We start from the raw sequence: 16030 nt of genomic DNA, 5'->3' as shown, positions 1-16030 counted from the left end.
CTTAAAAATCTGGTACCTGCTACAACATGGATGAAACTTGAAAACATTATGCTAAATAAAATAAGCGAGATGATAAAAGGACAAATAATATATGATTCCACTCATATAAGGTATCTAGAATAGGCAAATTCATAAAGAAAGAAAGTAGAATACAGGTTACCAGGGGCTGGGGGAGGGGAGGATGGAGAGTTATTGTTTATGGGTGCAGAGGTTCAGTTTGGGATGATAAAAAAAGTTCTGGAAATAGATAGTGGTTATGGTTGTACAACAATATGAATCTGCTTAATGTTACTGAATTGTACACTTAATGTTTAAAATGTTAAATTTTATTTTATGTATGTTTATCACAATAAAAATTGCAAAAATAATGTAAAACTCTCATTATCAATTTTATCTTAAGAATATGTTGAAATGATTATATTTTAGATGTTAGGTTTAAAATATATTATTGTTTTTTTTTTTTCTTTTTTCAAAATGTGTTGCCAGGTGCTGTGGCTCACGCCTGTAATCCCAGCACTGTGGGAAGCTGAGGTAGGAGGATCGTTTCAGCCCAGGAGTTCAAGAGTAGCTTGAAGAGGATGATATTTAGTTCAAAGTAATAAAGTTTTAATAGTAGGACTACCAAGGTTGTAACAGGGCCATTATTTATAGTGGCAATTTTTATAGCCTTCAAATCCCATCCTGAAGGATACCAGCTGTATGTACATCTGGTCACCTAGCCTAAGGCTGAGCAAACAGAAGGCGGGAGACCAGGCTTCCTGGCACTGTGCACACTTAGGTAAGTCAACTTTCTCTTCTCCATTTTTCTACCTATAACCTTATTGTAGGTTTCATTTCTCAGACAGCAGTACAGAAATAGAAAAAAGATCCTTCAATTATACTTTGTGTAATTGAATTATACAATTCAATTATAATTATGTAAGTATAATTATACTTTCAATTATCCTTCTATGACTGTCAAGTAATAATTTAGCAATACCTTACTGATTGGAATAATAAAGTTGTGATCATGTGGCTGAGAAAAAAATCATATGACCTTGTGATGGTTAATATTATGTGTCCACTGGCTGGACCACAGTACCCAGATACTTAGTCACACATGTTTTCTGGATTTTCCTGTAAGGGTGTTTTTTTCCAGATGAGATTAATGTTTTAATCAGAGGACTTCGAGTAAAGGAGATTGTCCTCCATAATGGGGGTGGGCCTCATCCAATTAGTTGAAGGCCTTAATAGGCCAGAATGACCGCCCCTGGGCAACAAGAATTATCCCAACAGACATGGCCTGAGGACTTAATTGCCATGTTGGTTCCACGTTGGCTCTGCAGTCTACTGACTTACCCTGCAGATACTGGATTCACTAGTCTCCATTGCGTGAGCTGATTCCTCAACATAAATATCTCTATTTCTCTATCTCTACATATTATCTATCTATCTATGTGTCTATCTATCTACATATCTCCTTTTGATTCTGCTTCTCTGGAGAACTCTGACAAATACAAACCTAAAAGTTATAAAAGGGGGAAAAATTGTCCCTGTGAGCAGCTAACCTGTGAAGGGAGAACTGAAAATTGAAAGAAACCCCATAAAAAAGACAACATGCAAAACACAAATTAAATTAACTGGGCCAGCCCAATCTAAGGTCGGCATCACAAACTATACAAGTCCAAATTCTTTTATTTATTTATTTATTTATTGAGACACAGTTGTCTCAATACACTCTTGTTGCCCAGGCTGGAGTGCAATGGCACGATCTCAGCTCACTACAACCTCCACCTCCCGGGTTCAAGCGATTCTCCTGCCTCAGCTTCCCGAGTAGCTGGGATTACAGGTGCCTGCCAGCACGCTTGGCTAATTTTTTGTATTTCTAGTAAATACCGGGTTTTACCACGTTGGCCAGGCTGGTCTGGAACACCTGACCTCAGGTGATCCACCTGCCTCAGCCTCCCAAAGTGCTAGGATTGCAGGTGTGAGCCACCGTGCCCAGCCCCAAGCTTAAATTCTTTTAGTAACAGTTTGTTCAGACCATGTGATTGCAGATCAAAGATAAACTGATCTAACCATAACTCTGCATGAACTCACATGTTCTAAAGACAAAATCCCTGAACAATCCATGTGAAAACCATCCTATGACTAACCCTAGATCCCCCACACTCCATAAATAGGCTTCCCTAACTCTCTCCTTTTGAAATACTTTCTTCCATTGAATTGTTCTTCTTAACTGCAGCAAGTTAATAATCTAACATTGTTTGACTACAGGTATGGCCCTAGTGTTCTTTAGCTACTGGGTTTTAGCAAAATTTATAAACATAAGAATTCTGGTTTTTTTGTTTTTTTGTTTTTTTTTGAGACGGAGTCTCGCTGTCTCCCAGGCTGGAGTGCAGTGGCGCGATCTTGGCTCACTGCCTCCCAGGTTCACGCCATTCTCCTGCCTCAGCCTCCCGAGTAACTGGGACTACAGGCGCCCGCCGCCACGCCTGGCTAATTTTTTGTATTTTTTAGTAGAGAAGGGGTTTCACCGTGTTAGCCAGGATGGTCTCAATCTCCTGACCTCGTGATCCGCCTGCCTCGGCCTCCCAAAGTGCTGGGATTACAGGCGTGAGCCACCGCGCCCGGCCAAACATGAGAATTCTTAAGCACGAGGCAGAGAGTTATATAAGAAATGCCTGAAATATTTATTTGGGGGTCCTAAAAGCAGTGCCTGAGACAGGGACTTGGGTGAAGGTAGTGTAATTAAGACATGTTTCTAGAAAATAGGAGTGAGGGAACAGAGACAGTGAGACAAGGCAGAAGAAAATTCAACACAGAGTTATTACCAAGGTTGCTGCTGTGGACAATGAGCACTCAACTCTGCTAGGACTCTGTTCAGAAAGACTTGGAGAATTTCTATCCGAAGGCTGGACTAGGGCATTTGCAGTCGACTGTCTTCCTCATTTGACCCAAGGTTGCCCGCTGGGCTTTGCCTACTTCTATGGCTTTGAAGAAAGCACAAAAGCAGAAAAACGTGGAGAAATGGCACCAATTTAAAGTGGGAGAAATACTCAGAATGAATTAAAATGTCTCTCACAGTCCCCGTGAAAGTCAGAAGTGGGCCAAGGCGGTATGACATTAGACACAGAGCATCTGTTCCACCTGGTTGTGGGGAGTGGAGGGTGGTAAAGGTTTGAGAAATCTTGGATTCATGTATTTCTATTGCATTTAATATTACCGCATACTGAGGGCTTACTGTTCATCCTCCAATAAAATAATACCTTACTTACATAATCCTCAAAACAAGCATCTGGGGCCGGGAGCAGTGGCTCACACCTATAATCCCAGCACTTTGGGAGGCCCAGGCGGGCAGATCATGAGGTCAAGAGATTGAGACCATCCTGGCTAACACGGTGAAACCCCGTCTCTACTAAAAATACAAAAATTAGCCAGGTGTGGTGACGTGTGCCTGTAGTCCCAGCTACTCAGGAGGCTGAGGCAGGAGAATCACTTGAACCCAGGAGGCAGAGGTTGCAGTGAGCAGAGATCGTTCCGCTGCACTCCAGCCTGGCGACAGAGCGAGACTCCGTCTCAAAAAAACATATATAAAAAAATTAAATTAAAAAAAAAAACAAACATCTGTGTTGATGGCCACTGTTCAGACTAGGAAACTGAGGCACAGCTGGGAGTTATATAATTTTCTGAGTCACTCAATACTTCAGACTTGAACCCAGGTCTCTCTGACTTCCCAGTGTACTCTTTGTGAATGAAGATTGTAGCCTGACCAGGCAGGCATGGACCAGCATGGACTGGCATGGACCGGCCCAGCAAAGTGATGACTGATACTGGGAAAAGACTTCCCTGACAGGAGGTGACTTTGGACAAATCACATTCTTCTGTGTACTTCTGTTTTTTCCAGATGAAACACGGGCAACAGTGTAACACTTGCCCTTCGGAGATCAAGGAGGGTTCAGTCACAGGCACAGGATCATTTGCTTTCAATGTTTCTGCATCTCTTCTGCAAGGAAAAAGAGCATTAGAAGTGTAAGCCAATCTGTCCCAGTTCCCACAGGTTCTACCCACGAGAGTGATGTGAGATTTTCTTTTTCTTTTTTTTTTTTTAAGCCACTTCATTGAAGTCTGATTGACATACAAAAAGTTATAGATTTTTAATGTATACAACTTGATATATTTGAACATAAGTGATATACCCTTAAAACAATCACCGTAACTAATGTGGTAAACTTATCCATCACCTCCAAAAGTTTCCTCTCACCTCCTTTATTGTTGTTGTTGTTGCTATTGTTTTTCGTTCTGTGGTAAGAGCACTTAACGTAAGAGCTAAACTCTTAACACATTTTTAAGTGTACAATACAGTAGTGTTAATCACAGGCCCTATGTTGGGTTGCTTTTAAAGAGATGCCTTCCCTTGTGCTCCATACTACGTTCCCAAGGAGCAGGTCCAGAGAGAACCTGGGGGCAGGGGTAAAACACAAGAATAGCCTGCCCTGGGTCCTATATTGAGGGAAGGACAGAGCCCTGGAATGGAATTTGGAGCTCTGAGCTACATCTCATGTTCTGCCGCTAGGAGGATGACCTTACTTAATTCATATAATCTCTTGGGATTAACTATAAAACATGGTGATTGAATTAGGAAATCTCTAAATCCTGCCCCCATTCTAAATATTACATTCCCTGGACACCACTAAGAAGTCACAGGCAATTCCAAAAGGCCTGCAAAGGCTGACACTCTCTGTGGTGTCCTTGGAAACTATTCTCTGACCCACACGAGAAAGCCAGCCCCCTTCCCTGTGGCCACCTCTTTGCCCAAACATGGCATTTCTCCACTTGATCTCCTACCTCTTGTTCCTGCCAATTATGACTCTTCAAAAATCAAACCTGTTCCCACATATTGTGGACTTTCTACCCCAAGAGATATTCACAGGTTTCCTATAAGGAAACATAGTCCAATAAAAAGAACAGATAGTTATCTTACTCATCAACTCAATTCACTCTTTGTGGGCTGGCTTTCATCTGTTTGCTAGGGATGATAATGCTGTCTACGCTCAGTGCTTTTGTGAAAATTATGTGCAGTGATCCACAGACAATGCCCAGGATAGTATTAATACATAGTATAAACTCAACAAATACTCATTATTATTACCATGGAAACGGGATAGGTAATAATATCTGCCTCACAGGAAAATGGAGGGGATAAGAATGTGCATTGGTATGTGTGACAAGCAAGTCACAGATTTTCTTAAAACACTCACTTGGTCACATCTGCCTAGAAACTTGAAGCTTAAGAACTGGGTTCTCGTTCTCTCTCTCTCTTGCTGTCTCTCTTCTCTCTCTCTCTCTCTCTCACTGTCTCTCTTCTCTCTCTCTCTTGCTGTCTCTGTTCTTTCTTTCTTTCTTTTTTTTTTTTTCTCTCTCTCTCTCTCTCTCACACACACACAGTAGTACCAAGACTAAGATTGGAGGACAGTAAAAAGAAAGGTAGCATGGTGAGCAGGGGACGTGGGATTCAAATAGGTTTGAAGTGAGCCTAAAATGACTGATCTATGCACTGAAGAAGGAATGCCAACAGAAAGGCCAGTTTCCAATGTTGTCTCAGGAAAATATGATTGAAGTTTAAAAGGTGGTGAATTAAAAGGGAGGGGTTATGGCCACTGCTTATTTCTTGTTCACAAGGATCAGCGTCCTGGGAGTGTGTTTGCCTTCCTGTTCTCATTAATCTGGAAGGGCTTCCTGGGTGTTTTGGGAGCTGAATCAATTCACTGAGGTGGTCCTAGACAGCTTCTTCCGTGAGAGGCTTCCAGAATTGGGAGTCTCAGGCAAGTGGTCACTATAGTGAGAGTATCTTTCCCAGTGAAACAGGGTCTCCAGGGACTAAGGACCATAAAAACATTGCCCTTTTCCCAGCCATGTTTATGTTGGCCTGGTCAGTGGAGGGTACCAGTTTAGGTGGCCAATTCCCCCGGAGAGCCACAGTCTGAGGTTGCCCAATAAATAGGACAGCTCCCATCCCCCAGTAATTTCATCTAGCCCCCATCTCTGAGCAGCACATCATCTATCCCAGACTAGATTGATAAGAAATAAGAGAAGAACGTAAATGTGTTTGTGTCTGGGGATAGATATTTCCTTAGGCATTTTATTATTGTAAGAAAAGATTTACACTCAATATGTATTTATGACCAGAGATTACCAGCATCACATATTTGGGATTCTTTCCGACTATAATCATCACCAATTCTCCCAGCTGGTGCTAAAGTTATTGCCCAGTGTCCGTTTCTTAATATCATTTAATGTTAAACCTTCAAGAATGATTGACAATGTTTGGCAATGTTTGAGGACCTAAAATATAAAAGAAACAAAAAAAAAATAGTGGATATTACAATGAGTATCAGATATAAAACCAAATGTATTGAGAGCCCTCAGTGCGCCCATGGAGGAATAAACAAGGTACAGCAGCCACAGAGAAGGGAGAAACCAGCTTTGTTGTGGAGATGAAGGAAAGCTTCATGAACAGGTGACATTTAAACAGGGGCCAGATTGAGGTTTGGGGGAAGTAAGTGAGATTAAAGCAGAGGGAGTATACGGAGACATCAAATAGTGAGGTGACTTCTGACAATGCAAGAAGATTTTATTGCCAGAGCATAGGCCACGTGTTCCCCTGAGTTCTCCTAAGACAAAAGCCTAAGAGCAGCTACTCTACTGGGGACTGGACCCAGTAAGCAAAAGTCAGGGACAGGGAGTTTGGAGCAGCGAAAAGGGAGAGCCCAAACAAACATGCATTGTAGAGTTGTCCACATAATATGAGACTGTTGCCAGTTCTTGCAGTACTTGCCCATAATCTTCTTCCTGGGGGAAGTAAATGAAAAGTAATTATTCCTCCTGTATTCAATTAGTTAAGAATTGCTCCACAGAGCATTAACTCCCAAAACTGGCAGACTGCCTATGCTTGAGTATTCAGTGGGTTCCCATGGGCCCCCACGACAGAGCATCAGAGGAGAAACCCCAGGGTCCAGATGAGCCTGTGACAGGCTGCACCTGCACAGAACTGGTAGCCATAGCAGTGGCTGAAATGGGAATTGAAGTTGCAGGGATTTTAAATGATTTACAATTATCTCAGTAGCCAAGGCTGAATAGATGAATTAAAAATCTTAAAGGAGACTCCTCCCACATTGGGGAAGACAGAATAGACATATTTTCCTATTTATTTGCTAAGAACATGTTTCTATTTATTTGCTAAGAACAACTAAAAACCTTGGGCATTGTGTATAAAACAAACACAAAATTCCAAGGGTAGACAAGAGGCAGACCATCTAAGGAGCTTGGGATATGAGGAATGACATCATGAAATAGAGGAATGACATAGTGGTCATCCTTAATGATTGAATTTTCTTCTTACCTCATATATCTGACTTGGAGCTGAAGAAACTGACAACACAGAAATGCTAATGTGCACAGATAGTAAAAGCCCTCTCAAAAGCCTGCTCCCTCTAGCCAATGAAAGGGGAATCCTAGCAAGGCAGAAGATTTCAAAAAACCACTTTACTCCGGCAAAACACTGCAGAAAAAAAAACAAACTGTGACCACATGACCCCCAACTCATGTCAGCAAAGGCCAAATGGAGAACCCAGACTTCCAACCTCATGAGGCTGTAATGAGGCACCCAACACCCTCCTCAGGGTGGTGGTATCAGAGAATGTCGAATAGGCAGTTGAGACTGTCATTCCTGCCAGCCAATAATGAGTAGCCCCTTTCTCCATGGTGTCAGTGGAAACCATGTGGGTGCCTGGATTTCAACCCTCACTGGGCAGTAATAAGATGTCCATCCCATCCCCCATGGGATGATGGCAGAGGAGGCCTAGTAGAGAATCAAGATATTCACCGCCACCCCAGAGTAATGAGGACCCTCACACCATGTAATCATAAAGAAAATGTGGAGAAAATACCCATCTTCACTTAGTGGTAATAAATCTCCCACCACCAGTATCAACGGAGACCAAATTTAAAAAGAATAAAAGTTACACGCAATATGTTCTCCAATACAATGTAATCACAGAAAGATAACTTGGAAATTCCTAAATAATTAATGATAACAAAAAGCAGTCTCAATGGAAATAAAAAATAATTTGACGTGAATAAAAATGAAAATAAAACATACCAAAATTTGTATAACACAGATAAAACAGTGCTGAGAAGAACATTTGTAGCTTAAATGAATATATTAAAAAGGAAGAAAAGTCTCATATCAATAATCTAGGCTATGCCATCAAGAACCAAGGAAAAGAAGAGCAAAACAAAACCCAAAGCAAGTAGAAGGAAATGATAGAGATAAGAGAAGAAATCAATAAAATTAAAAACAGAAAAAAATAAATAAAATCTTTGAAACAGAGCTGATTCCTTGAAGAGATCAATAAAATTAATAAGCTCCTAGCAAGACTAACAGAGAAAAAAGAAAGAAGGCATGAATTAATAATATCAGGAATGAAAAGGAGGTTATTATTACAGACTCTGTGTACATCAAAAGAATAATGAGGAAATACTACAAACAATTCTATATACAGAAAAGTGGACCACTTCCTAGTAAAACACAAACTACCACAACTCCCAAAATATGAATATATAATTTGTAACCCTGTAACTATTAAGAATTGAATTTTTAGTTTATAAAATCCCCAAAAAGAAATTCATAGGTCCAGATTGTTTCACTAGAAAATTCTAACAAACATTAAAAGAAGAATTCTACACTATCTCTTCCAATAAATGGAAAAGGAGAAAACATCTCCCAATATGTTTTGTGACGTATTACTCTGATAACAAAACAGTACAAAAACCACACACAAAAAAACTACAGGCTAATATCTCTCATATATAGACACAAACGTTTTTCACAGCGCACCACACACAGTATGGCTACTAGAATGTGGAGAAATTAGAATCCTTTAACACTGTTGATAGAAATGTAAAACAGTAAAATGTTATCACAGTTCTTCAAAATATTAAAAATAGAATTACCGTATGTTCCACTGATTCTACTTCTGGGTAATCTCAAAAGAATTGAAACCAGGATCTTGAAAGTATATTTGCACACTCATGTTCATAGCAGCACTGTTCACAATAGTCAAAGGGTGGAGGCAACCAACTGTCAATGGACAGATGATGGATAAACAAATTTAGTATATACCGACAATGAAAAATTAGCCTGAAAAAGGAAGAAAATTCTGATAAGTGCTACAGCATGGACAGAGCTTGAGGACATTATGCTAAGTGAAATAAGAAAGTCACAAAAAGACAAATACTGTATGTTGTCACTTATATGAGGTAGTCAAATTCTTAGAAACAGAAAGTGGAATGGTGGTGGCCAGGAGACGGGGAAGGGGCAAACGGGAAATTGTTTGTTTAATGGGTATAGAATTTCAGTTTCACAAGATGAAAATGTTCTGGACATTAGTTATACAACAATGTAAATATGCTTAACACTACAGAATTGTACACTTAAAAATGGTTGGGCCAGGCGTGGTGGCTCACGCCTGTAATCTCAGCACTTTGGGAGGCCAAGGCAGGTGGATCACGAGATCAGGAGTTCGAGACCAGCCTGGCCAATACGGTGAAACCTCGTCTCTACTAAAACTACAAAAAATTAGCCAGGCATAGTGACGCGTGCCTGTAATCTCAGCTACTCGGGAGGCTGAGGCAGGAGAATCACTTGAACCCAGGAGGCGGAGGTTGCAGTGAGCGGAGATCACGCCATTGCACTCCAGCCTGGGCAACAGAGCAAGACTCCATCTCTAAAAAAAAAAAAAAAAAAAAAAAAGGGTTAAGGTGGTAAAGTTTATGTTATGTGTACTTTTTAAAATTATAACCAAGCATGTTTTGTTTTCAGGAGGGCCAGTCTTGTTCAATATTCAAAAATCAAGTAATCTGCCATATTAACAGCATTAAAAATAAATTTCACATGATGATATAAATTGATACAGAAAATGCATTTGATAAAAATTCAACAAACATTTATGATGAAAACTCAGAAAAATAAGAACAGAGGAGAAATTCCTCAACTTGAAGATGAGCATCTATAAATACCTACAGTTAATGTTATAGTTAATGGTGAATGACTGAATGTCTTCCCTCTAAACGTGGGAACAAAGAAAAAATGTCGACTGTCATCATTCTTATCCAACATAGTCCATAGTCAACGCAATAAAGCAGGAAAAAAAGTAAAAGGCATACAGACAAAAATAAAGAAATGAAATATCCCTATTTGTACATTATATTATATACCTAATATTACATACATAGAAAATATTCAAATAATCTATTTTTTTAAAAAACCCTAAAACTAAGTGAGTTCCACGAAGTTATCATATTATACAAGAAAAAATGATAAATTAGACTCTATTAAAGTTAAAAATTATTGCTCTGTCAAAATTCCTGCTAAGAGGATGAAAAGAGGACCCAGAGAGTGGGAGAATGTATTCCCAAACCAAGGATACAACAAAGGACTAGTATCTAGAATATATAATGTCTCAAAATAACAAAGTTATAGCGATATAGAACACATTTGTGGTTTTCAGGGGTTAAGAAGGGGATGGCAAAGGAGGAAAGTGAGCATAAATGCAAAAGGGCAACATGAGGAATCCTTGTGGTGGTGGGAATGTTCAATGCCTTGACTGTATCAATGTTAATATTCTTACTGTTTTATTTTGCAAGTGACTTTATTTTTTCCAGATTTATTGAGGTATAATTGACAAATAAAAATTGTATATGTTTACAGCATACAGTATGGCGATTTTATTTTTGTTTTTGTTTCAACTTTTATTTTAGATTCAGAGGGTACACGTGCACATTTGTTACATGGGAAAAATGCATCTGGCTGGGTTTTGGTGTATGAATGATCCCATCACCCAGATAGCGAGGATAGTATCCAGTGGGTAGTTTCTCAGCCCACACCCCCTTCCCACCCTCACTCCTCTAGTAGTCTCCAGTGTCTATTGTTGCCATCTTTATGTCCACGTTTACCCTAACAACATAATGTTTTGATATATGTATACATTGTGAAGTGATTACCACAATCGAGCTAATTAACATGCTAATCACCTCACATAGTTCCCTTGTGTGTCTGTGTGTGTTGAGAACTTTCAAGATCTCTTAGCAAATTTAAAGTATACAATCGGATATAATTAATTGTAGTCACCATGCTGTACATTAGATCAGATTTTATTCATCCCACATAACTGAAATTTTGTACCCTTTAAACACCTCCCCATTTTTCCCACCCAGCAGCCCCAATCATTGGAAACCATCATTCTACTCTCTGCTTCCATGAGTTTGACTTTTTTAGATTCCACTTATAAGTGAGATCATGTAGTACTTGTCTTTCTGTGCCTGACTTATTTTACTCAACATAATGTCCTCCAGGTTCATCCATGTTGTTGCAAATGACAGGGTTTCCTTCTTTATTAAGGCTGAGTAGTGTGTGCGTGTGCGTGTGTGTGTGTGTGTGTGTGTGTACGTGTGTGTGTGCATCACCTTTTCATTTTCCCTTTATCTGTTGATGGGGATTTGGGTTAATTCCATATCTTGGCTCTTGTGAATAATATTGCAAAGAACATGGGCATACAGATATCTCTTTGAGATACTAATTTCATTTTTTGGGATATGTATCCAGAAAAGGGATTGCTGGATCTTATGGTAGTTCTAGTTTTATTTTTTGAGGAACCTCCGTATTATTTTCCATAATGACTACATTGATTTACATTTTGACCAATAGTATACAAGGGTCCCCCTTTCCTCACCAACACTTACCATTTTTTTCATTTTTGATAATAACCATTCTAACAAATACGAGCTGATAATGTGGTTTTGATTTGCATTTCACTAACGATTATTGATGATAAACATCTTTTCAAATACCTTTTAGCCCATGGGTCCTCTTCATATTTTCAATTTAGGTCAGTCACACTGTAAGAATGAAGGGAGGCCTGTTGGGATATGCAAGACAGCAAGGAAAAATTCTTAGGTTGAATGACTCCCTGCCCCTCTAAAGAAAAAAACAGAGAGCTGGTGGCTACATTCATCTCTCCCTGTTTCAGGGCCCTTTTCTCCCCATCTAGGCCCTCAGATTGCTTGATTCATATCTTCTGTTGAAGAAAATGGAGCTCCCACAATGTCCATGAGGAGTAGACACAGGAAGTGGGGCTGCTTCCCCTGGATGTCCATCCCTGGGGGCTAAGATGGAGTGGAGGGAAGACACCACTGACCCTGACAACCTAAAAGGCTGTCACTGAGAGAGGCTACAAAGTGGTCTCTGTGACTCCAAATGGAAAAGCTGATGTCACTGAGGAGCACAGTAAAGGAAGTGATTGAAGTGCCCAGTGAAGCTTCCTGCAGGTGTGGCAGAGTGGAAACACTGACAGAGTGGGGAACTCAGACTCATTGAGCTCAAGGTATTGAGCACAGAGAGAGACATGATGATTCTAGCTCTCTCGTCTCCTCCACAGCTCAGTTGCTTAAATGTAGCTCTCCTTCCCAACACACACACCCCAGTCATTTTCTATTGCCCAGGAACAAGTTAGCAGAGAATCTTCTGGGTGGCCTGGGCCCCAGGGATCCCTGGGGAACAGCATCTCACCAGGGCATCTAGCCAAGGGTGTAAAGACGGGACGTCAGTTCCAGAGCCTTCCTGGGCTCCTTCAGGATGTGGAGAGGTAAAGAAGGCTTTGACAACAAGCAGGGTGAGTAACACAGGGCCTGGACACAATCCCTTCTGCACTATTTAGAAGGGAAGGGGCCTGCTCAATGAGTCTGAGTTCCCCACTCTGTCAGCTACCACCAAAAGGAGGAATCAGTGGGATGAGAGATGAGAAGGTGTCAGAAGCAGGAAAGGAGTGAGGAGGCCTGGACTTCCATAGATGGCAAGAACATGCCCCTAGATGAGGGAGAGTAAGGAAAGAGGCAACGTTCCTGAACACAGAGATTTCTCAATTCAGATCATTATTCAGAAACCTAGACTCTGTGACCAAGGGGATTCATACTCTTTGGTTTCTCTAAGTAGGGCAACTCTGTGAGGGTATCTTAAGATCCCATCTCAGGTAGCATCCTGGGGATGATCTGAATGTTTGCTTGAGATGTCACCTTTCGCCATGAGATTGTTCTTCATATTCTCTTGGATAAGAAGAGCCTTTAAGGAAAGCACTTGACTTGGAGGTAGAGGAAAGCAAACATGTTGAATCACTCCTTTTGACTCCCACAGACAACGTACAGTCATGGAACATTCTTAGAGTATTAAAATAAACATAAGTTAGAAATCATCCACATTTTTCCTCCTTCTTCTGGGAAGAGTTATGATTTTTAAATAGGTTTGACTCTTTTATGTCCTAGATATAATAGCAGAAAACCAAACCTGGTCTAATTTCCAGAGTTGAGAGATTTAACTTTAAACTTTCTGAGTCCATGGGAACTAAGAAACATGGTAATCCAAGCTGTCTACTAGAATGGGTATTTATAGAAAAGAAAGAAAACAAAAGCAAAAATTTTCATTTAAATACACAGAATTCATCCCTCATGTCAGACCTCTCATATCACTGTAATATTTACAATACATGAAAATGGATGAAAAGACAATTATCTGGAGATGAGAAAACTTAGTTTGATTGTACAAAGTGCCACAAATTTTTGGCAACTTGTCCTAAGAGGTACTGTATAGTCACATCTTTAAGTGTTCAGCTTCTTGTAATATGGAACCAAACTTAGCATTTTGATCCTTCTACCACATCCAGGAGAAATAGATCAGACAAATACCCAGAGTTACAGAGGACCTGCGTTTCAACTAGGAGACAACTGAGAGTTCTAGGATAACGCATTTGTGAGTCACTGGAGAACAGATAAATCAATCCAGGCTGGAAGAAAGGGAAATGTCACATTAACTTCAGCAAGATTTATCCTCAGATTGCCGAAAGTTAAATGGAGAATCCAGAACTTACCCTGTATTCTGATTTATGTTACCAATGACAAAGAGACTATTTTCTGGATTGACCTTACCTAACTTTAAATAAGACTGACTGAAAATAACAATTAATTTAATTAATCTGAAGGAGTCATTGATCTTTTCTGTATGCAAACTATACAGTAAAAGTTGTGAACATGTGCACTAGAGGAGGCTTTATTAAGGCTTGGGGTAAAGAGGAGTGGATTATATAAATAAAGAAATCATTATTCAATAATGTATTCACTTGCTCATCCATTGATTGTCCCTGAAAAAAAAAAAGAGCAGAGATTTGGAAATCATCAAAATCAGAACATTAGGATTGAATGAGGTTTCTGAAGAAATGTCACTTGAATTAGTAAAAAGAAAATAAAAAATGGAGAGGCAATTAGCATAATAAACGGCAAATAGTATGAAGAACCAAAAGGGTTATACTGAGTAAAGACAGTTTTAAAGAAATAGGAAAACACTGCATCTGCAGAGCCCTAAATCATGTCACCATGAAACATTAGAAGAAAATAGGGACTTCCAGCTAATCTGCTCCAAGCGGCCCACATTTTACCAATCTCTAGCATCTAGTATAATGCAGACAGTTTGAGACTGTTGAAAGGTTTAAGTGAAGTAGACGTGAATTTGAATTTGTACAGTCACATCTAGACTGGCCTGGAGGAACTCAACCTCTCTCTCTAGTTTTATTTGTTTTAAAATAATATTATTATTATTGTTGTTATAGCTATCTTTTTTAAGAAGATGATAATATCTACCTTGCATGATTGTTTTATAAGCAGAGAGGTATTATGTACAATCAGAAATGTGAAAAGTCTAATATCTGGAACATAGCATACTGAATGATTGATCCATTAGTAAATTTATTTGCCCAGCATCAGACAATAACATTAGTAGCATTAGTAGAACAAACTCCACAGAACATTGAAACTAGCCTAAATTTATGTTTTTTATTCATGTTTTAACAGGTGTCTTTGGAAATTCTAACTTTAGGGGAGAACCTCAGGCTCCTTGGGGCTGCAGCTTTGGCCCTCCCGACTAGGAAAGACAATGTTAAGTGATTTAGGGGGAGGCACATTCAAGGACAAAAGACTTTAGGAAGGATATGCTAAGGGGCTGAAGGAAATATTTGTCTGACATTCCTAAATTCTGGGAAATGTTGAGTCAATGGGGTGCAGAAATGATTCTTGTAATTTGCAGCCTGAATTGCAAGGGCATCCAATGACCCAGTCAATATTCTCTGGGCAAGACACAGAAAGACCCCACATCTTTGACAGTTCTTAGTGACCTGGTAAGAATCAAATCATCACTTCATTTACCAAAACATTCCTACTACCTATTTTCATCCTTACCCTGAAACTTTCTCATTGGTGGGACTTGATTACTAGAGAATGTCAGGATTTTGCCCTCAAATCTTACACAGACACACACACACACACACACACACACACACACACACACACACACAAGGTTTCTTTTGTTTTGTTTTTTGTTTTGTTTGGTTTTGTTCTCGTTTTGTTTTGCATTGTTTTTGAGACAGAGTTTCACTCTTGTTGCCCAGGTTGGAGTGCAATGGCAGGATCTCAGCTCACTGCAACCTCTGCCTCCCGGGTTTAAGTGATTCTCCTGCCTCAGCCCCCAAGTAGCTGGGATTACAGGCATGTGCCACCACGCCCAGCTAATTTTGTATTTTGAGTAGAGACAGGGTTTCTCCATGTTAATGAGGCTAGTCTCAAACTCCCAACCTCAGATGAACCGCCCTCCTGGGCCTCGCAAAGTGCTGGTATTATAGGCATGAGCCAACGCGCCCGGCCACAGTGGAGTTTTAATAGCTGTTTTATGGGGAAGGCTGCAGTTTTCATCTTTCTTTGATAGATTTAAGCATTTCTCTCCACTCACTTTAGTAAAACTGTTTTCCTTCTTTGTATACCTGGCAAAGTAATTGTGAGATTCCAATGACATAATTACTGTGAAAGCACTTAGAATACTGCAAAAAATATACTATCAGTGGAATAACAATAAGGACCAGGACAAAAACAACAATGTGATGATGATAATTATGAG

At 39.8% G+C, this 16030-nt stretch overlaps 1 long non-coding RNA gene across 2 annotated transcripts; it reads right to left on the bottom strand.

Moving 5' to 3' along the window:
• Positions 1-6592: 6592 nt before the first annotated feature.
• LOC105376528 (uncharacterized) lies at positions 6593-12261 on the bottom strand. Of its 2 annotated transcripts, none has more exons than XR_930990.3 (3): positions 11890-12261; positions 8995-9121; positions 6593-6831 (listed from the first exon to the last, which is right to left on the bottom strand). It is a non-coding gene; the product is annotated as an uncharacterized LOC105376528 (long non-coding RNA). The 2 variants fall into 2 exon arrangements; XR_930989.3 differs by having other exon boundaries at positions 8995-9181; positions 11890-12230.
• Positions 12262-16030: the final 3769 nt, after the last annotated feature.

This window comes from Homo sapiens, chromosome 11 (assembly GCF_000001405.40).
Source record: "Homo sapiens chromosome 11, GRCh38.p14 Primary Assembly".
Classification (NCBI taxonomy): Eukaryota; Metazoa; Chordata; class Mammalia; order Primates; family Hominidae; genus Homo; species Homo sapiens.
The sequence above is the reverse complement of the archived record's forward strand: the minus strand, read 5'-3'. Positions and strand labels throughout refer to the sequence as shown.